The sequence below is a fragment of the Homo sapiens genome, chromosome 1 (assembly GCF_000001405.40).
Source record: "Homo sapiens chromosome 1, GRCh38.p14 Primary Assembly".
NCBI lineage: Eukaryota > Metazoa > Chordata > Mammalia > Primates > Hominidae > Homo > Homo sapiens.
The window spans coordinates 50,222,851-50,244,630 of NC_000001.11; the positions used below are offsets into that span (position 1 = coordinate 50,222,851).

The window sequence follows — 21,780 nt, forward strand, 5'->3', positions numbered from 1 at the left end:
TTGCCAGGCACCATGCTGGGCCCTCAACATAGAATGTCTTTTTAGTAAGTAAAAAGTTCTCCTTGGTAATCCTCACAGTGCCAATAACTGTGAGAAGTACATGGAAATTACTAGCTGCTATCAATATTACTATGTCTAAAACTACCGTTTTCCCCTGCATTAGAACAATCTGAACATTGTTAGGCAAAGACATCTAAGCAATTTTAAAATTATTTGAGTCATGACAGAGAGACTCACAACTGAAATATTTACCTTTCAATTTCAGGTGAGGACGTTCCCGGAGATTGAAGATGTGACAAGTTCCCACATCGTGTGAGCATCAGAGAAAACTTCCCCTGACAAGTCACGTGCAGAGATAGGAACCGTTGATTAAGGAGAGGATTAATTTTATCTCCCAAGTATTTCTACCGGTAAATACTCTTAAATACATAGAATAGTGGGGCTGAAAGAGTCCTTCGAGGTCTCCTCCTTAGCTTCTTTGTCTTATGGATGGGGAAACAGAGGCCCAGAGATCAGAATTGCATTCTAATTATTCAGCCCTCCTTCCACTCCCCCCTCCAATCCATCCTCCAACTAGAATTTATTGAATGATTAAAGGAAAAAAAATGAAGGAGGCATTTGGTCTTGATTCGCCCATTCGTTTATTCAGAAAGTATTTATTGAATATCCACTATTTGCCAGGCACTCTTCTAGGCACAGGGAACAAAGCAGTAAACAAACCAGACAAAAATCCCTGCCTTCATGGAGCTCACATTCTAGAGAGAGGCAGTAGACTGCATAGATTGATGAATGGTTATAAATGCTAGAAAGAAGAATAAAGCAAAAAGGAGGGCTAGATACATGGTTTAGCTCTGTGTCCCACCCAAATCTCATGTTGAATTGTAATTTCCAATGTTGGAAGAGAGACCTGGTGGGAGATGATTGAATCATGAGGGCATAGTTCCTCCTTGCTGTTCTCATGATAGTGAGTGAGTTATCATGAGATCTGGTTGTTTGAAAGTGCATAGCACTTCCACCTTCACTCTCTCCTCCTCCTGCTCCAACATGTGAAAATGCCCTCGCTTCCCCCTTACCTTGAACCATTATTGTAAATTTCCTGAGGCCTCTCAGCCAAGTTTCCTGTACATCCTGCCAAACTGTGAGTCCATTAAACCTCTTTTCTTCAAAAATTACCCAGTTTTGGTTGGGTGCGGTGGCTCACACCTGTAATCCCAGCACTTTGGGAGGCTGAGGCAGGCAGATCACTTGAGGTCAGGAGTTCGAGACCAGCCTGGACAACATGGTGAAATCCTGTCTCTACTAAAAATACAAAAATTAGCTGGATATGGTGGTAGGTGCCAGTAATCCCAGCTACTTGGATGGCTGAGGCAGGAGAATCGCTTGAACCCAGGAGGCAGAGGTTGCAGTGAGCCAAGATCACACCACTGCACTCCAGCCTGGATGACAGAGCGAGATACCCTCTCAAAAATAAAAATAAAAATAAATTACCCAGTCTCAGGTAGTTTTTTTGGTTTTTGAAGGTTTTTGTTGTTGTTTGTTTGTTTGTTTGTTTGTTTGTTTGTTTTTTGAGACACAGTCTCGCTCTGTCACCCAGGCTGGAGTGCAGTGGCGTGATCTTGGCTGGCTGCAACATCCACCTCCTGGGTTCAAGCAATTCTCCTGCCTCAGCCTCCCCAGTAGCTGGGATTACAAGCACATGCCACCATGCCTGGTTAATTTTTGTATTTTTAGTAGAGATGGGGTTTCACCATGTTGGTCAGGCTGGTCTGGAACTCCTGACCTCGTGATCTGCCTGCCTTGGCCTCCCAAAGTGCTGGGATTACAGGCGTGAGCCACTGCGCCTGGCCTCAGGTAGTTCTTTATAGCAGTGTGAGAATGGACTAATACAGAAAATTGGTACCAGGAGTGGGATATTGCTATAAAGATACCTGAAAATGTGGAAGCAGCTTTGGTACTGGGTAATGGGCAGAGATTGGAACAGTCTGGAGGGCTCAGAAAAAGATAAGAACATGTGGAAAAGTTTGGAACTTCCTAGAGACTCATTGAATGGTTGTGACCAAAATGCTGATGATGACATGAACAATGAAGTTCAGGCTGAGGTGGTTTCAGGTGGAGATGAGGAACTTACTGAGAACTGGGAACTTACTGGGAACTTACTGGGAAGTAAAGTTCACTTTTGCTATGCTTTAGCAAAGAGACTGGTGGCACTGTGCCCCTGCTCTAGACATCTGTGGAGCTTTGAACTTGAGAGAGATGATTTAGGGTAGCTGGGGGAAGAAATTTCTAAGCAGCAAAGCATTCAAGATGTGACCTGGCTGCTTCTAAAAGCATATGGTCATTTACATAAACAAAAAAATAAACTGAAACTAGAACTTATATTTAAAAGGGAAGCAGATCATAAAAGTTTAGAAATTTGGCAGCTCAACCATGTGGTAGAAAAGAAAAACTCATTTTCTGGGGAGGAATTCAAGGCTGCAGAAATTTGCATAAGTGAAGAAGAGCTGAATGTTAATAGCCAAGACAATGGGGAAAATGCCTCCAGAGCATTTTACAGACCTTCACAGCAGCTCCTCCCATCACAGGCCAGGAGGCCTAGAAGGGAAAAATGGTTCTGTGGGCCAGGCCCAGGGCCCTGCTGCTCTGTGCAGCCTCAGGACATGCATGGCACCCTGCATCCCAAATGCTCCAGCTCAGCCATGGCTAAAAGGGGCCAAGATAAAGCTCAGGCCATTGCTTCAGAGGGTGCAAGCCTCAAGCCTTGGTGGCTTCCACATGGTGTTAGGCCTGTGGGTGTGCAAAAGGCAAGAGTTGAGGGTTGGAGTCCTCTGCCTAGATTTCAGAGGATGTATGGAAACGTCTGGATATCCAGGCAGAAGTCTGCTACAGGGTCAGAGCCCTCATGGAGAGAACTCTACTAGGGCAATGCAGAGGGGAAATATGGGGTTGGATCCCCCACACAGAGTCCCCACTGGAACACTGCCTAGAGGAGCTGTGAGAAGAGGGCCACCATTCTCCAGACCCCCAAATGGTAGATCCACTAACAGCTTGCACCATACGTCTAGAAAAGCCACAGGCACTCAATGCCAGGCCCTGAAAGCAGACACAGGGGATGTACCCTGCAGAGCCACAGAAGTGGAGCTGCCCAAGGCCTTGGGAGCCCACCCCTTGCATCTGCATGCCCTGGATGTGAGACATGGAGTCAAAGGAGATTATTTCAGAACTTTAAGATTTAATGACTACCCTGCTGGGTTTTGGACTTGCATGGGGCCTATAGCCCCTTTGTTTTGGCCAATTTCTTCCTTTTGGAATGGAAGAATTTACCCAATGCCTGCACCCCCATTGTATCTTGTAAGTAACTGACTTGTTTTTGATTTTACAGGCTCATAGGTGGAAGGGAGTTGCCTTGTCTCAGATGAAACTTCCAAAGTCTCTTGGACTTTTGAGTTAACACTGGAATGAGTTAAGACTTTGGGGAACTGTTGGGAAGTCATGATTGTATTTTGAAATGTAAGAAGGACATGAGATTTAGAAGGGCAGAAAGATATGGTTTGGCTCTCCGTCCCCACCCAAATATCATGTTGATTTGTAATCCCCAATGTTGGGGGAGGGACCTGGTGGGAGGTGATTGGATCATGGGGTTGGATTTCCCCCTTGCTGTCCTCATGATAGTAAGTTCTCATGAGATCTGGTTGTTTTAAAACACATAGCACTTTCCCCTGTTTGCTCTTTCTCTCTCCTGTCACCATGTGAAGTTGTACTTGCTTCCCCTTTGCCCTTCCATCATGATTTTAAGTTTCCTGAGGCCTCCCAGCCATGCTTCCTGTACAGCATGCAGAACTGTGAGTACATTAACCCTCTTTTCTTCATAAATTACCCAGTCCCAGATAGTTCTTTATAGCCATGTGAGAATTGACTCATACAACCAGCGAAGGGGAAGTAGTTACAATTTTAATACGATGGTCGTAGAAGTCCTCTCACTTAGAAAGTGATGGAAGCAGGGAATGGAGCCATGTGGCTATCTAGTGAATAAAATCCAGACAGAGGGAATAGAAAATGTAAAGGCCTTGTGGGTCCAAATAGCAATGAGGAGGCCAATGTGGCTGGAGTGAGCAAGACGCGAGATGTTTGTTGGACATCATCCCAGAGAAATAATAGGGGCTGGGGAGGGGGGCACCATATCCTGAAAGTCCCTGTAGCATCAGTGGTTAGTTTCCTCTCATACTCCTCCTCCCCTTCTCTGTACTGCTTCCTTGCCCTCAGGCTTCTGGCTAGATTTGGCCAATAGGAGGCACTGTCAGCAGATTAGAGAGTGGGAAGGAAGAAAAACCAGGTCTCTCTTTTTCAAATGGTGTCTCTAGCAGGGGCCACATCTCTGGCTCTAGCTCCCGACAGACAGACCTGCCATGTTTCCAGCTCCAGTGGGGCAGCTCCAGCTCTCAGACTCCAGTAACATGGACTCCTCTCTTTATTCCCACATGTCTTGGGAGAATTGGTGGGCCCTGCATTTGTTAAATTTGTGGTTACCCCACTTTCTCTTGGTTACTCTTTCAGCTCTTCTAGCATGTTTATAACTAATTCCCTACATTAAATAATCTCTACTAAATTACCTGGTATGGATTGTGTTTCCCAGTTGGACTCTGACAGATAAAGACTTCATAGGCCCCTGTAAGACTTGGGCTTTTACTCTAAGTAAAACAGGCAGCCACTGGAGGGTTTGAGTAGAGATTCATGAGTTGCCTTGAAGCCTGAATGAATAGAAAAACAGTTGTGTCTCCAAAAATGTTTCTTTAATTGAAGACACCTGCCCAACATCACACAGAATTTGTGATGGGACAGACTCATGGTGCCTGCTCCTCTGCTCTCTGCTCCATTTTAAATAAATGGCATTGAGAACCTCAGAAACTTCAAAAACACAGAGGGATGTTTGCATATTCTCTAACAGTTTTGTACAAGACTCCAACTCTTTGAAGGCCTTTGGAGGTCAGAGATGACACTGAGAAGGGCCAGCCATCATTGACAGGACCTCACCAATAATGCAGAGGAAGGTTTTTGTCTGTTTGATTTCCTGGGAGAGTGCCAGTTTTAGCAGAAAAGGGGAAGAAAATCCAGCCCCTGAGGAGCCCCTGCAATATCCTAGGCACGCTGCCAAGCAATTTTACATCCAATGGCTCATTTAATCCTACAAGGACACTGCTCAGTGGATATTAATATCTTTATTTTGAAAAAAAGTGCTTTCAGAGAAGTTAGGTAACTAGTCTAAGGTCACACATCCTCTTATTCCATCAATAAGTGGATCAAGGACCAGTCTAACCCCTCAAGGTGGCCATGAAGGCAGTAGAGTGTGGGAGTCTTTGAGCAAAGTCTTTGAATGAGAAAGCCAGGTCTTTGGACTAAAAGTCATTTTGCCTCTCTGAGTCTCAATTTCCTCATTGGTAAAGTAGGAATAACATCAGTGCTATCCATTTCAAAGAATGTTTCTGAGCATTTAAATGAACTAATGTGTGAGAAGCACCTGGCAAATTTTAAAGCTCTGTACTAAAGACCCTTAACCCAAGGTCCATGTCTGAGCTTTGAGGTCTATGAACCTCTTGAAGATGATGCTAAATTTTATATATATAAGCAGAGACCTGCTGGTCCATCACACAATCTGAATTCCCCTGTGCCTCTTATATGTGAGCTTCTTGCTGTGCTGGAAGTGATTCTATTATTTAAAGAAAGACTTTTTCATACAACATGGCTCCCAAATGTAAACCAACTAACTTCTATATAGATACTACACTATATACTCTGAAGTTTTGAGGGCATTCACAGGATTTGCAAGGGTAATTTCAACTACATGTGATTTTTGTCTCACAGACTATCTTTAGAGCTGAACACCTGAACATGATGTGACTCCTCTGTGCATTTGTGACTGGAGAGTCCATGGCTTCCAGCAGCAGATTTTTAAAGAAGGTGATTTAAAGTTTATTGGGAAGTACCATTTTAGACAAATACTGGAAGTATTAAGATGTTAAAAATGATGAATATGATATGATAATTATAATTACATATACATTAATGGAGCATCTACTATGTGTAGGGCACAATTCAAGAGTGAATTAGAGAATACACTAGCTGCATTCTATAAACATATCCCCTGAGGGCTCATAATGCCATGGGGACAACAAACCACATGTTGCTCGCAGATTTCTTGGAGGAGGTGGGATATGAGCTAGATCCTAAATGATGCTTGGAATTTTAACAGGTGAAGTTAAGATAAGAGCCTGCCAGACAGGAAGACTGTATTGACAAAAGGCATGGTGTAAAGAATGTAGCAGGGCCTGCACAGGGAAAGGTGTGAGCCTAGTATAGGCTGAGATGTGGAATGAGCAGGGAGGAGGCTGAAGTCCGAAGAAGGCCTGGGGTTCAACGTCAGCCAGGATGCAGACTCTATTCTCCATCTCAATTTCCACAACTCATTCAGCCCTTTCTCTCCCCCACTACCTATTCCAGAGCTAAGCACCCTATGGATGCTCAACGATATCTTGTTCTGGGGGAGGGAGACCCTTAACCTGACAAACTTGGATGCTGGTCCTGCTTCACCTACTAGCCAGCTGTGTGACCTTGAGCAAGACCCTTTCCCTCTCTGAATCTCAGTCTCTTAATTTGTAAAATGGGAATTGTCATACTTCTCCTGCCGATCATGCAAAACAGGGTGTTTGCCTCTTAGTGGAAGCTCATCTCATGTTAGTTAAACCGCCATCTTATGGGGTTCTTGGGGGACATCAAAGAGGCAGTAGACGGTCTAATGCTTAGGAACAAAGACCAAGGACAGCCTCAAAGTCTGCATTATTACCGTGGTCACCACCTTTGAGCAGCTCTCACTTCCTCCAGAGGCAGCAAACATTCAGCCTTCTCTCGTCACGGCACGTTCCTCCTTCTGCAGCAAAGGAGACAGAAAGGAGATTCACCAATTGCCTGGGCTGAGGCCAGACATTGAAAGTCTCCCAATGCATGCTAATGCCATCGACCCTTGCTGAGATGTGCTGGGCTATCAAACAAACTTATTTGACTCTGATTCACCTCTGGATAAGGTAAAGTTTATGCTACTGATATGAAGAAATACTAGGGGAAAAGTTGTCCAAACAACTCTTCCCAGACCTCAATTTCATAACTTCTGATTGAGTTAAGATGATACAACCCTTCTTAGAGATGCCATCATACTATCATTCACTCACTTGATTATCTAACAAGTGCTCACTTTAAGTAGACCCTGTGCTGGGTCCTGGGAACACTGAGGGAACATAGAGCAGACTCTGTGCTAAAGAAGCTCACAGTCTATGGGCAGAAAAGGGGAAAAACCCTGAACCCCAACAATTGTGGACATTGAAATATGATGGGTCATTGGACCGGGATAGCCCAGGGTGCTATGGGAGCCAGAGAAGAAAGCACTCACTAGCCTGAGGTGGGGTTTTAAAGACACCAGGCCTACTACAGACTGGGCCCAGTTCCAGCTCAGCACTCCCTGTTGCAGCACCTGTTCACACCATTTGCACCAGCCATGCCAATGACTTGCAGCCTTTCATTTGCACCAGGCTATTTTATGCATTCATGCCCATGGTGGATGGAGTATGTAAAAACAAGGCTTGGGAACCAATAAATGAATGCCCTTCCAGGAGAGGGTTCAAACAAGGTCTCATAGGGAGGTGCTTGATCTGGATCTTGGAATCAGTAGAAGTTCACCCAAGGAGTGGTCAAGGGGAGCTGCATGGCATTTGGGTAAAAGAGAAAGCATGTGCAGGGAATAGTAAGAAGTTCAATGTAACTAGAGCACTAGATAAGTATAGGGGAATTTGTGAGAGTTGAGGCTGGAGGCAGGAGCAAGGTCACCAACGGCATTGGATGCCAGGCTAAGGAGTTAGGACTTTATCCTGTACATAATGAAGAGGACTTCAATGAGTTTTAAGCAAGGTAGTAACTTGCTCAACCAGAATAATGACCCCTGGAGCCCTTAAAGTAAGCTCATAAGAGCCCAGACTTCTATAAACTAGTAGAAAAAAAGCCTCTGAAATTTGACTCAAAGGCAAGAAAGTGCATTCCAGGCCCCTACAGAGATTAGGCCAGCGAGCAATCCCTCCTCCTGCTAGACTCCAAGGGGACCAAGACTTCCCAAGGTCACCTTCTCCTGATAGCCTTTGACGTCTCCACAATTTCTTCACCCTCCAAGACCATTGCCTTTCGGCAGTCTCTGTGCCAAGGACAGATTTGATAGCAAGAAAATGGCCCACTGGAGAAATAAAATGCCTGTGTTTCTTCAGCAGGGAAAGCTGTTGGGGTTTTTTATTATCATTATTATTATTTTTCTCTGAGCTGAACAAGTGACAGGACATAATAATATCGTTTATTCCAACTTGCTCTTGCAAATCAGAACTTTTTAATATTTTCCTTTCAAATGAAAATGCCATTTATCATTATCAAATGAAGTGCTAATGAAAACAACATGTAGAAAAAACACATTCACACAGCAGAGCATGATGGAGCACCTTGTCAGCGGTCCATAGTCTCGCCGTTAATTTGATTTCTGCCAAAAATCACTTAAGTGAGGCTTGGGGATTTTTTTTGTCTCAATGCTCCAGGCCTTTCTGCTGAGGCCTGTTTATTCCTCTCTCCTGAGAAGGCACTGAAATCCCGAGTTCATTTTAATCTGACTTTTAATGGAACTCCCATTGATTGCATGAGGGAAGTGTGCATATCAGGGAGCATAAGGGACTATTCTTGCCTGTCTGTGTGTCATTGCCCATTTCTTTCACCCAACACATATTTGGCTGGTGGGCTTTGGCTGTGTCCTTGTTTAGGTAGTGTGTGTTTGTGTACTTCAATCTGGTGTGCCGCTATGGGTGATTATACGTTTGTGTCCACGAGCCAGGAGGACAGTAATTATGTCTATTTGTTAACCACTGGAGGCCCAGCACCTGGCCTATTGCCTGACACATAGTAGGCCCTCAATAAGTATTTGTTAAATGAATAAGTGAATGTTTCTGTATGTTTTCATGAAGCATGTGTTTTAGTCTGTATGGGTTCAGATATATGTGCTTCTAATCCCAGGAGTGGAAATTTCAGGGACAGGAACTCTGAATCTCTAGTGTTTACTTAGTACTTCACACATGTCAGGCACTTAGAGAATATTTTTTGAGTATATATATATGTTTCCATATTTTTTAAATTAGGTAAAGTTTACATAACATAAAATTAACCGATTTTAAGAGTACAGTTCAGTGGCACTTTGTACTTTCATAATGTTGTGCAACCATCACCTCCATCTAGTTCCAAAACATTTTCATCTTCCCCCAAAGAAACTCTGTACCTATTAAGCAGTGACTCCATATTCCTCCCTCCCCCAGCCCCTGGCAACCTGTTTTCTGCCTCTATGGATTTACCTATTCTGGATACTTTATGTAAATGGAATAATACAATATGTGACTTTTTGTGTCTAGATTGTTTTGCCTACCATAATGTTTTCAAAGTTCTCCATATATGTTTTTACATCTGTGTGTATTTAAGTCTGTAGGTGTGTGTTCATGCGTGGGATACTTGGCACCACAGCCGCATCCCTAGAGCACAGGGCCTGACAAAGAACAGCTGGGCAATGAGGAAAACTCTTGCCATTCCTTTCCCTACTTTCCTGCCAGGTGCTCCTTGGCCCAGATCATCTTTCCTTCCTTACCCCGACCTCTGCTGTTTCCTGGCAAGCTCTGAATGATTACTTGGTGATCTGTCCAAGTGTCATCTATTCCAGGAAGACTTTCCTGACCCCAGGCTAGGTTATAAGACTCTCCTCTGGACTCCCACTGCCCTTGCACTTTCTTTTGTCATCACTTTGCTCCCTTGTGTGATCATTGTCAATTTACTTGTCTCTCTCTGTTAGATCATGAGTTCCTGAAGGAAATGGACTGCGTCTTCTTCATCTATGCAGTCCCAGTACTTAACATGATATTTAGTTTATATTGGGTGTCCCACGGGTGTTGGTTGAATGAATAAATGAATGAATTTTGGGGGAAAAGTCATTCCACATAGAGAGAACAGCCTGTGCAAAAGCCCTAAGGCATGAGACAGCACATTCGTTATTAAAAAAATTATAACAGTTTGATATGACTTGAAGCCTGTCATATGTGAATGAGGAGGAAAGTGAGAGTTAAGATAGGAAATAAGAAGTAGGAATTGGCCTATCATAAACCTTCCTGATGGCAAAGGGAAATGCGTCAATGGTTTAAGCAAGGACATGACATAGTCAGATTTGTGGGTTAGAGGATTCCTTAGCTACCAAGTGAAGAATGGATTAGAGAGGACCAGAGTGGATGAGGATGGACCACTTAGGAGACTACTGCAGAGTACAGGCAAGTGATGATGGCTCAGTTCAGGGTGGTGGCATAGAATTAGAGACAGAAAACTTGAGCAGTGCTCAACAAAGTGGTCTGTGAACTGGGGCTGATCTGTGAACTACAGTCCACAGCAAGACAAGTACAAAAAGCAAGAGAACAAGGACTTTATAGTAATTTGACATTTCTGAGACATTTTTATTGTATTTTACAAAAGTATCAGTCTACAGCAAATTGAAAATGGAAAAATAAAAGGTACTTCACCACAGATAGTTTAGGGAACATGCTAATAAATGGAGTACATTAGCAGGTGGGAGAGAGAGGAAGCAGGAATGACCCCGGCAAGACTGTCAATGACAGAAGCATGTCAGAAGCATTTCCATTTCCTTCCTTGGGGAGGAAATGTTTGCTAAATAAACTTCCAGGGTTCATCAAAAGCTGATGGTTTTGAACAATGTCAGTGATTTCACAAGATGCCAGAAAGGAGGAGGACAAAAAGCTGGGTTCAGAGAGAAAATTGTATCTGGGCCTAGGTGGTCATCAGCCACCGAGAAGTACAGCTACGCTTCCTTCTTCATCTTCCTCCAACTTTTCCCTTCCCCTGCTAAAAGGCATAGGATAGTATGAGCTTCTGTGGAAACTGGGAGTCATGCTGAACTCCTCCCTGACTAATATGGTTTGGCTGTGTCCCCACCCAAATCTCACCTTGAATTTTAGCTCCCATAATCCCCACATGTTGTGGGAGGGACCCAGTGGGAGGTCATTGAATCATGTGGGCAGGTTTTCCCGTGATGTTCTCCTGATATTGAATAAGTCTCACAAGATCTGATGGTTTTATAAAGCACAGTTCCCCTGCACATGCCCTCTTGCCTGCTGTCATGCAAGATGTGACTTTGCTCCTCCTTTGCCTTCCACTATGATTGTGAGGCCTCCCCAGCCATGTGGAACTGTGAGTCCATTAAAACTCTGTTTCTTTATAAATTGCCCAGTCTTGGTTATGTCTTTATTAGCAATGTAAGGACAGACTAATACAGTAAATTGGTACTATGAGTAGGGTGTTGCTGTAAAGACACCCCAAAATGTGGAAGCAACTTTGGAACTGGGTAACAGGCAAAGGTTGAAACAGTTTGGAGAGCTCAGAAGAAGACAGGAAAATGTGGGAAAGTTTGGAACTTCCTGGAGACTTGGAAAGCTCAGAAGACAGGAAGATGCAGGAAAGTTTGGAACTTCCTAGAGACTTGTTGAATGGCTTTGATCAAAATGCTGTTAGTGATATGGACAATAAAGTCCAGGCTGAGGTGGTCCCAGATAGAGATGAGGAACTTGTTGGGAACTGGAGTAAAGGTAGCTCTTGCTATGCAAAGATACTGGCAGCAATTTGCCCCTGCCCTAGAGATCTGTGGAACTTTGAACTTGAGAGAGCTGATTTAGGGTATCTGGTGGAAGAAATTTCTAAGTGGCAGTGTTTAAGAGGAAGCAGAGCATAAAAGTTTTGAAAATTCACAGCCTGATGATGCAGAAGAAAAGGAAACCCCATTTTCTGGGGAAAAATTCAAGCCGGGCAGCAGAAATTTGCATAAGTAACAAGGAACCAAATGCTAATCACCAAGACAAAGGGGAAAATGTCTCCAGTGCATGTCAGAGACCTTTCTGGCAGCCCCTCCCATCACAGGCCCAGAGGCCTAGGAGGGAAAAATGGTTTCCTGGGGTGGGTCCAGGACCTCCCTGCTTTGTGCAGCCTCAGGACTTGCTGCCTTGCATCCTAGCCACTCCAGCCATGGCTAAAAGGAACCAACGCACAGCTCAGACCAGGGCTTCAGAAGATGCAAGCCCTAAGACTTGGCAGCTTACATGTGGTGTTCAGCCTGTAGGTACACAGAAGTCAAGAATTGAGGTTTGGGAACCTCCACTTAGATTTCAGAGGATGTATGGAAATACCTGGATATCCAGGCAGAGGTGTGCTGTAGGGCTGGAACCCTCATGGAGAACCTCTGCTAGGGTAATGTGGAAGGGAAATATGGGGTCAGAGCCCCCACACAGTCCCCACTGGGACACTACCTACTGGAGCTGTGAGAAGAGGGCCACCGTCTTCCAGACCCCAGAAGGATCCATCGACAGCTTGCACCATGCACCTGGGAAAGCTACAGGCACTCATCACCAGCCTATGAAAGCAGCCAGGAAGGGGGCTGTACCCTGAAAAGCCACAGGGGTGGAGCTGCCCAAGGCCATGGGAGCCCACCTTGTGCATCAGCATGACCTGGATGTGAGACATGGATTTAAAGGAGATCATTTTTGAGCTTTAAAATTTGACTGCCCTGCTGGATTTCAGACTTGAATGAAGCCTGTACCCCCTTTGTTTTGGCCAATTTCTCCCTTTTGGAACATGTGTATTTACCTAATTCCTGTGTCCCCATTATGTCTAGGAAGTAACCAACTATCTTTTGATTTTCCATGCTCACAGGCTGAAGGGACTTGCCTTGTCTCAGATGAGACTTTGGACTATGGACTTTTGAGTTAATGCTGAAATGAGTTAAGACTTTTGAGGACTGTTGGGAAGGCATGATTGGTTTTGAAATGTGAGGACATGAGACTTAGGAGGCCCAGGGGTAGAATGATATGGTTTGGCTGTATCCCCACCCAAATCTCATCTTGAATTGTAGCTCCCATAATCCCCATGCATTGTGGGAGGGAGCCAGTGGGAGGTAATTGAATCATGGAGGTGAGTTTTTCCAGTGCTGTTCTCATGATAGTGACTAAGTCTCCCATGATCTGATGGTTTTATAAAGGGCAGTCCTTCTACACATGCTCTCTTGCTTGCTACCATGTAAGACATGCCTGTGCTCCTCTTTTGCCTTCTGCCATGATTGTGAGACCTCCCCAGCCATGTGGAACTGTGAGTCCATTAAACCTCTTTTTCTTTCTAAATTAGCCAGTCTCAGGTACGTCTTTATTAGCAGCATGAGAACAGACTAATACACTGACCGTCATCCCTCACACTTAAGCAGCTACCAAGCACTGTGACCTCAAGAAGCAGTATAATGTGGGGTTGAGGACATGGACTCTGGAGATAGTCTTCCTGAGTTCAAATCCTGACTGACTCCAACACTTACAAGGTATATAACCTTGAATATGTTTCTACAGCCCTCTGGGCATGTGTCTTTGGGTTATTGTGAGAACGAATTTAGTTATATATCAAGCACTTAGAACAATGCTTGGTATATAGCAAGAATTCTATGTGTTATGCATTGATTACTATCATTTTAGTGGTTGCTTCTACTTCTAAGTATCTCATGAATGAACTCCATTCCTTGTACTGCTGCCCCAGTCCAGGCAACCACCATTCCTCCTCATATACAGCAACAGCCTTCACCTCAGTGGCCTCCCTGTCTTCTGTTGGGTCTTCTCCTATTCCACTCTGGCCCCAAAATGCTCTTTCTGAATCATAAATCTAGCATGTCACTTTCCTACTTAAAACCTCTCTGTGGCTGGTTATCCATGGTACCCAGGCCCGGCATGATTCAGCCCTTTTCTTCCCCTCATGGCCTCAGCATTTGCCACAAATTTTTTTGCCCTCCATGTGTCAGTGGCATGAGCCTTTCTTAGTTTCCCCCAACGGCTTTTGCATATTCTGCTCCCTCTGCCTGGGCCAGCATCCCCATCATCAAACCAGTTCTACTGCTTCCTTCAAGTCTTAGCTGGGTAGTTATATCTTCTAAGGTGTCTTGCTTGACTCTCCAGGCAGAATTAGAAGCCCCAAATTTCTGTTCTCATAGCTCTTGTGCCTCCTTGAAATAGCACTGACACAAGAATGCCATCTTTGTTGTCACATATCTGCCTCCCGAGACTGTGAGTCCCTCCAGTGCAGACCCTGGGCCTGATCTATCTGTGTAGATACTCAGTAAACTCATGTGAAATGGGATTGAATTGGAACCAGCCCAATATTGCACTTTAAGAGCCAGAAAGCAGAATAAAGTGGCTGAATCCAACTACTCCAGGAGCGGTTCATGCGTGGGCAAGGGGAGCATGAGATGTTCTTTTCTCACACCATCCTCTTCCTGCTGCCAACCCCCTCCTAGCTGCGTGAGTCTCGTGAGCTGAATACAGAACGGATGGGCTTGGCAGCGACTGCCTGGCTGTGTGCCCACCACCCATGGGCACCCAGGAAACATGCTGAAAGGAGCTGAGCACCACCCAAGCAGTCCTACCCTCTGACTCCTACCATAGGACATTGGAGACAGGAGTAGGTGGAGCACAGAAGGGGAGTCACCTGAACCTACAATATTTCTAGGCCTCAGTCTTCTTCTCTACTAGATGGATTCAATAATCCTGCCTTAATGGTTGCAATGGGGAGTTAAAGAGATCACAGATGTGAGCACATAGTGGTTCCAGACTTGCATGGGGCCTATACCCCCTTTGTTTTAGCCAATTTCTCCCATTTTGAAGATATGTAGTTACCCAATACCTGTACTCCCATCATATCTATGAAGTAACTAACTTGCTTTTGATTTTACAGGCTCATAGGCAGAAGGGACTTGCCTTGTCTCAGATGAGACTTTGGACTGTGGACTTTTGAGTTAATGCTGAAATGAGTTAAGACTTTGGGGGACTGTTGAGAAGGCATGATTGGTTGAACCTTGTTAACCCTTCTGCTTGAACCCTGTTAACTTTCTCATAATCACCAGGGAAACTGAGGTGAAGAGAGTGAGGAAAAGTACAATTTTGGGTAGGATCCCACTTTGATGCAGCATAGGTGAAAGGTGCTCTGCAAATGTACAATATCTTCTGAGAATCTGATTCATTTTTAAAAGCCTTCACAGGTGGGGAACCTGGGCACAGATTTGTAGTGGTAAGGAGTCAGAGATGAGCAGTTCAGGAAACAAAAGATTACATATGGAAAAAAAGTGAACTGAAATACACCACTGCCAATGGTATCTAACATTTATAGAGTACTTATTATGGACAGGGACTGTGTTAAGTGCTTTATACGTATAATCTCAATTAAGCCTCACAATAGCCCTATGAGTAAAGTATTATTATTATTTCCACTTTACAGATGAGAAAACTAGGTCAGAGGGAGTTAAGCAATTTCCACAAGGACCCATTAAAGCAGAGGCAGAATTTGAACCCAGTGGCACCCGATTCTCAAGCCCCTGCTCTTTCCATCCTGTGCTAGATATGGTCAATTGGTCTTTCATGTACCATCATGGCTGGAGACCCAAGAACTACATTTTTCAGACTCCCATTCCAGCTGGGTTCCAGTCTGCTCTGCAGCTGAGGGACACACATGGGCCATCAGAAGGCAGGAAGAAAATTGAAGCCATTGTTGGCTTCTGTCATCTGTGGGAGTGTGGGCTCTTGTATTCCAGGAGCTGCACTGACATTGGCTCTAGGAATGTCTCTTCAGGAGTGCAGCCTCCACTGTCTCACTTTTACTTCTTCAGACCTGGGATCAGTAATCACTTCCTTATAATAACTAATCTCTGAGGAGCTCCCCCTTTCCCCTTTTGCTCTCCAGTCCATCAATATCTTTGTAACCAAGTCTTCTGCTTGAAATGCCCAGAGGGATTTGCTTCACTGCAAAGTGGACACTGGTTGACATGATGTTACTCTTTCTGCTCCTTCAGCTAGAAGGAATACCCAGTTATAGGATCAAGGTGTCAGCCAAGTAGGCTGAGGGCAAGGCTGAGGCCTCTGTAGGACACTGGAGATCTATCACGGAAACTGCAGCAAGCATCTACTGGGCCACCACCAAGAAAGGAGGATATGGATCAGAGAGCTCCCAGCAGGCATCCAACATGCCAGGCTCAGGCTGTGAGCCTAATTCCAGAACCCACCCACTATTGAGGCTAAGCCCAAAGCCATCCTGCCAGCTTCAGGATGGCCCAGGGCCTGAGCAATGCAAGAGAGCCTTGGGGCTGGCAACTGAGCAGGCTAGCAGGTGAGGACCAGCAGACTATCTTCTCCCCGCCACTACTGCCCGTGAGAAACCATATGTGTTGACTGGTCTCTTCATTTGGGAACTTGACTGAGAATAAGCTTTGGGAAATTGACAAATCTGGGAGCCCTCTGACCCATATTCCTTACCAGCTAGTTCTGTGAGTCATTTGGTTCCCCAAACCTGAGCCTCGGTCTCCTTATTTATAAAATGGGGGCTGTCATGCCCATTGCACAAGTGTGAGGATTGAATGAGATAATGTATGCAAAGTACTTAATTCAGCTCCTGGCTGGTTGCAGATGCTTAAAAAATAAGTCTCCCATTCCCCTCCCTTCTTAAAAATAAGCTCCCTTATTTAGTTATTTACAATATCCTATATACATGTCTCTCACACTCCATGATAAGGTCTGAGAAAATAAAGACATGTCTTAGCTTTCTTTGTCTTGCTTAGAGCATCTAGTTCTTTAAAAAATAATAATATGCCTTTAATAATAAATTAAAACCTTCACACTCATAAAAACTAAAAAGAGAGAGATGGAGAAAGAGAAATGAAGCTTCTCTATTCATCCTTAATATTTTGCATCAAGAAAGTCTAAAACTCTACAATCTGCTCAATTTATTTTAGTATAAATTCATTCTTCTTTCCTTATCAGTCTCCTTTCTTCCCTCCCTTTCTTTCTACCACAGATATTTATTTTCAAGGCCCAAAAATGCAAAGATAAACAAGTAGAGTCCTCACCCCGAGGAGCTCAGATTCTAATGGGAGAGACATCATGTCAACAGAGGATGACAACCCACTGGTACAGACACAGAGCACTGATCTACACTCCCGTAGCACAGATCAGTGCCATGACAGAGGGAAGCACAGTGGTGTGGAGGCCACAGAGGAAACCTGAGGAGCCGGGGAGGCTTCCCGGGAGAAATTACTCATGTGCTGCGTCATAATAGAAGAGTGGAAAGAAGCGGTGTGAAGCAGGGGGAGTGGGATGCAGTAAAGGAGCACAGACACAGAATCAGGAGAGCCAAGTTCAGAGCCCTCCCAGCTGTGTGACCCGATGTGACTCATGTCCCCCCTTCTGTAAGGCAGAATAATAATACCTGCTGAACAAGGTGGTCACAGGTTCAATGGCAATACAGAAAGTACGTGGTGTAAAGTAGGTGTCAAGGAAATCAGGTGCCTCCCACCACCACTGTGACAATGGCCTTTCCTGAAGGACAAAGGAACTCAATGTTAGAAGTGTGGGGGACTAAAATGTCTCTCTCTTCTTTTTCAGAAGAGTTTACTTAGGTTTATAGAAAAAAATGAGCAGAAAGCACATATTTTGCATATATCCTTACCCCATCTCCACACGATTTCACCTATTTATTTTTTTTATACTTTAAGTTCTAGCGTACATGTGCACAACATGCAGGTTTGTTACTTATGTATACATGTGCCATGTTGGTGTGCTGCACCCGCCAACTCGTCATTTACATTAGGTGTATCTCCTAATGCTATCCCTCCCCCCTCCCCCCACCCCATGACAGGCCCCAGTGTTTGATGTTCCCCGCCCTATGTCCAAGTGTTCTCATTGTTCAATTCCCACCTATGAGTGACGACATGTGGTGTTTGGTTTTCTATCCTTGCGATAGTTTGCTCAGAATGATGGTTTCCAGCTTCATCCATGTCCCTACAAAGGACATGAACTCATCCTTTTTTATGGCTGCATAGTATTCCATGGTGTATATGTGCCACATTTTCTTAATCCAGTCTATCATTGATGGACATTTGGGTTGGTTCCAAGTCTTTGCTATTGTGAATAGTGTCGCAATAAACATATGTGTGCGTGTGTCTTTATAGCAGCATGATTTATAATCCTTTGGGTATATACCCAGTAATGGGATGGCTGGGTCAAATGGTATTTCTAGTTCTAGATCCTTGAGGAATCACCACACTGTCTTCCACAACGGTTGAACTAGTTTACAGTCCCACCAACAGTGTAGAAGTATTCTATTTCTCCACATACTCTCCAGTACCTCTTGTTTCCTGACTCTTTAATGATCGCCATTCTAACTGATGTGAGATAGTATCTCATTGTGGTTTTGATTTGCATTTCTCTGATGGCCAGTGATGATGAGCATTTTTCATGAGTCTGTTGGCTGCATAAATGTCTTTTTTTGAGAAGTGTCTGTTCATATCCTTTGCCCACTTTTTGAAGGGGTTGTTTGATTTTTTCTTGTAAATGTATTTAAGTTCTTTGTACATTCTGGATGTTAGCTTTTTGTCAGATGGGTAGATTGTAAAAATTTCCTCCCATTCTGTAGGTTGCCTGTTCACTCTGATGGTAGTTTCTTTTGTTGTGCAGAAACTCTTTAGTTTAATTAGATCCCATTTGTGAATTTTGGCTTTTGTTGCCATTGCTTTTGGTGTTTTAGTCATGAAGTCCTTGCCCATGCCTATGTCCTGAATGGTATTGCCTAGGTTTTCTTCTAGGGTTTTTATGGTTTTAGGTCTAACATTTAAGTCTTTAATCTATCTTGAATTAATTTTTGTATAAGGTGTAAGGAAGGGATCCAGTTTCAGCTTTCTACCTATGGCTGGCCAGTTTTCCCAGCACCATTTATTAAATAGGGAATCGTTTCTCCATTTCTTGTTTCTGTCAGGTTTGTCAAAGATGGTTTGTAGATGTGTGGTATTATTTCTGAGGGCTCTGTTCTGTTCCATTGGCCTATATCTCTGTTTTGGTACCAGTACCATGCTGTTTTGGTTACTGTAGCATTGCAGTATAGTTTGAAGTCAGGTAGTGCGATGCCTCCAGCTTTGTTCTTTGGGTTTAGGATTGTCTTGGCAATGCGGGCTCTTTTTTGGTTCCATATGAACTTTAAAGTAGTTTTTACCAATTCTGTGAGGAAAGTCATTGGTGGCTTGATGGAGATGGCATTGAATCTATAAATTACCTTGGGCAGTATGGCCATTTTCATGATATTGATTCTTCCTATCCATGAGCATGGAATGTTCTTCCATTTCTTTGTGTCCTCTTTTATTTTGTTGAGCAGTGGTTTGTAGTTCTCCTTGAAGACGTCCTTCGCATCCCTTGTAAGTTGGATTCCTAGGTATTTTATTCTCTTTGAAGCAATTGTGAATGGGAGTTCACTCATGATTTGGCTCTCTGTTAGTCTGTTATTGGTGTATAGGAATGCTTGTGATTTTTGCACATTGATTTTGTAGCCTGAGACTTTGCTGAAGTTGCTTATTAGCTTGAGGAGATTTGGGGCTGAGATGATGGGATTTTCTAAATATACAATCATGTCATCTGCAAACAGGGACAATTTGACTTCCTCTTTTCCTAATTGAATCCCCTTTATTTCTTTATCCTGCCTGATTGCCCTGGCCAGAACTTCCAACACTATGTTGAATAGGAGTGGTGACAGAGGGCATCCCTGTCTTGTGCCAGTTTTTAAAGAGGATGCTTCCAGTTTTTGCCCATTCAGTATGATATTGACTGTGGGTTTGTCATAAATAGCGCTTATTATTTTGAGACACGCCCATCAATACCTAGTTTATTGAGAGTTTTTAGCATGAAGGGCTGTTGAATTTTGTCAAAGGCCTTTTCTGCACCTAATGAGATAATCATGTGGTTTTTGTCTTTGGTTCTGTTTATATGCTGGATTATGTTTATTCATTTGCGTATGTTGAACCAGCCTTGCATCCCAGGGATGAAGCCAACTTGATCGTGGTGGATAAGCTTTTTGATGTGCTGCTGAATTCAGTTTGCCAGTATTTTATTGAGGATTTTTGCATTGATGTTCATCAGGGATATTGGTCTAAAATTCTCTTTTTTGGTTGTGTCTCTGCCAGGCTTTGGTATCAGGATGATGCTGGCCTCATAAAATGAGTTAGGGAGGATTCTTTCTTTTTCTATTGATTGGGATCGTTTCAGAAGGAATGGTATCAGCTCCTCTTTGTACCTCTGGTAGAATTTGGCTGTGAATCCATCTGGTCCTGGACTTTTTTTGGTTGGTAGGCTATTAATTATTGCCTCAATTTCAGAGCCTGTTATTGGTCTATTCAGGGATTCAACTTCTTCCTGGTTTAGTCTTGGGAGGATATTTGTGTACAGCAATTTATCCATTTCTTCTAGATTTTCTAGTTTATTTGCTTAAAGGTGTTTATAGTATTCTCTGATGGTAGTTTGTATTTCTGTGAGATCGGTGGTATTATCCCCTTTATCATTTTTTATTGCATCTAATTGTTTTTTCTCTCTTCCCCTATTATTAACCTCATGTATGAGTGTGGTACACTTGTTGTAATTGGTAAAATGCCTGTTGAAGATGCTTAGCTGGCTGCAGCATGTGAAACAGCTCCCACCTTCCCCCACTAGATCTCCTTTCTGAGCAGGGCTTATTGCTAATTACAACATTTTAAAAACAGCGAATAATGGAGAATCCAATCCCCTGTTCCCACCCCAACACATACATCCCTGAGGTTAGGACCACCCAGAACACAAGCAGTCCAGGAGACTCACCAGATTTCGGTGAGCCCCTCTCAGTTCACATCTTCTCTGCCCTTTTAGATTTGAGACACCACGACACAAGAAGAAACCATCCCTGACTTTCTTCTTCCCTTTTCAAACTGAACAAGTTCCTGAACTTGTCAAACATAAATGCAAAATTATGAAAAACAATCGTAAGTGAAAACTCCAGTTATTAAAATGTATGGGGACTAATTATTGATCTGATGAAATGCTGAATAAAAAGAAAGAGACACGCTTGGATAAATAGAAATCTTTTAAAGTCATTAATATACATGTGTTTATTTTTCCTCATCTACACTGGAAGCTGCAGCAGGGCTGTATTGTCTAACAAATTAGAAGGGGTGACAATGCCATGTTCAGCCCTATGTGTGATGTCTCTCCACTCAGACTTATTAATTTCTGCCAAATTAAAACAAGCCCTCCCCACCCCTGCCCGACAGGCTGCAGGAATGTGTAGTGCAAATACAAATGCCGTTAGGAAGACCTCGCCTTTGGGCAGCTGCCGGGAGAGCCTGCACACTGGCTTGAAGCTGTTTCAGCACAGACAGGAAACTGCTAGGAAATTGCTGTCCCCAAACTAGGCGCTATCAAAAGGGGAGCTCTTCCAGGCATGGCTGCACCTTGGTTCTCTTCCTGGTAGGGTGATCCTTCCCACTTGTCTCTGCCTCAGTTTTCCCCAGGGGCAATCCTGAGTCCTGCACCACTGACCCACAACCCCATTTCAAAATGATCACCTTGGTCCTGAGCCTTGGTTTTTACAGGCATATTGGCCTGGCCAGCTGATCTCTGACTACTACACACTCTTCAGATTTCTGCAGGAAACTTGGGCCCAGGGCCTTGGCCTCAGAGTGTGTTTGTAACAAGTTTGAGTATCTCTGCTCATGCGCAATTCCTATCCTGCTATGCCACATGGCCAATCCTTCCAGTCTGTGTGGCCTCCTTCAGGAAGTCTTCCTGGAGAGCCCACTACCACCTC

At 43.9% G+C, this 21,780-nt stretch overlaps 1 long non-coding RNA gene across 1 annotated transcript in view; it reads right to left on the reverse strand.

Annotated features, from left to right (window-relative positions):
- Positions 1-21,780, reverse strand: part of LOC105378711 (uncharacterized) — a 52,673-nt gene that overhangs the window by 16,767 nt on the left and 14,126 nt on the right. The window contains exons 5-9 of the long non-coding RNA XR_947315.4: positions 20,796-20,919; positions 17,389-17,498; positions 6,836-6,919; positions 4,608-4,745; positions 253-335 (exon numbers count right to left, since the gene is read on the reverse strand). This is a non-coding gene — a long non-coding RNA (uncharacterized LOC105378711). The remainder of the gene's footprint in view (positions 1-252; positions 336-4,607; positions 4,746-6,835; positions 6,920-17,388; positions 17,499-20,795; positions 20,920-21,780) is intronic.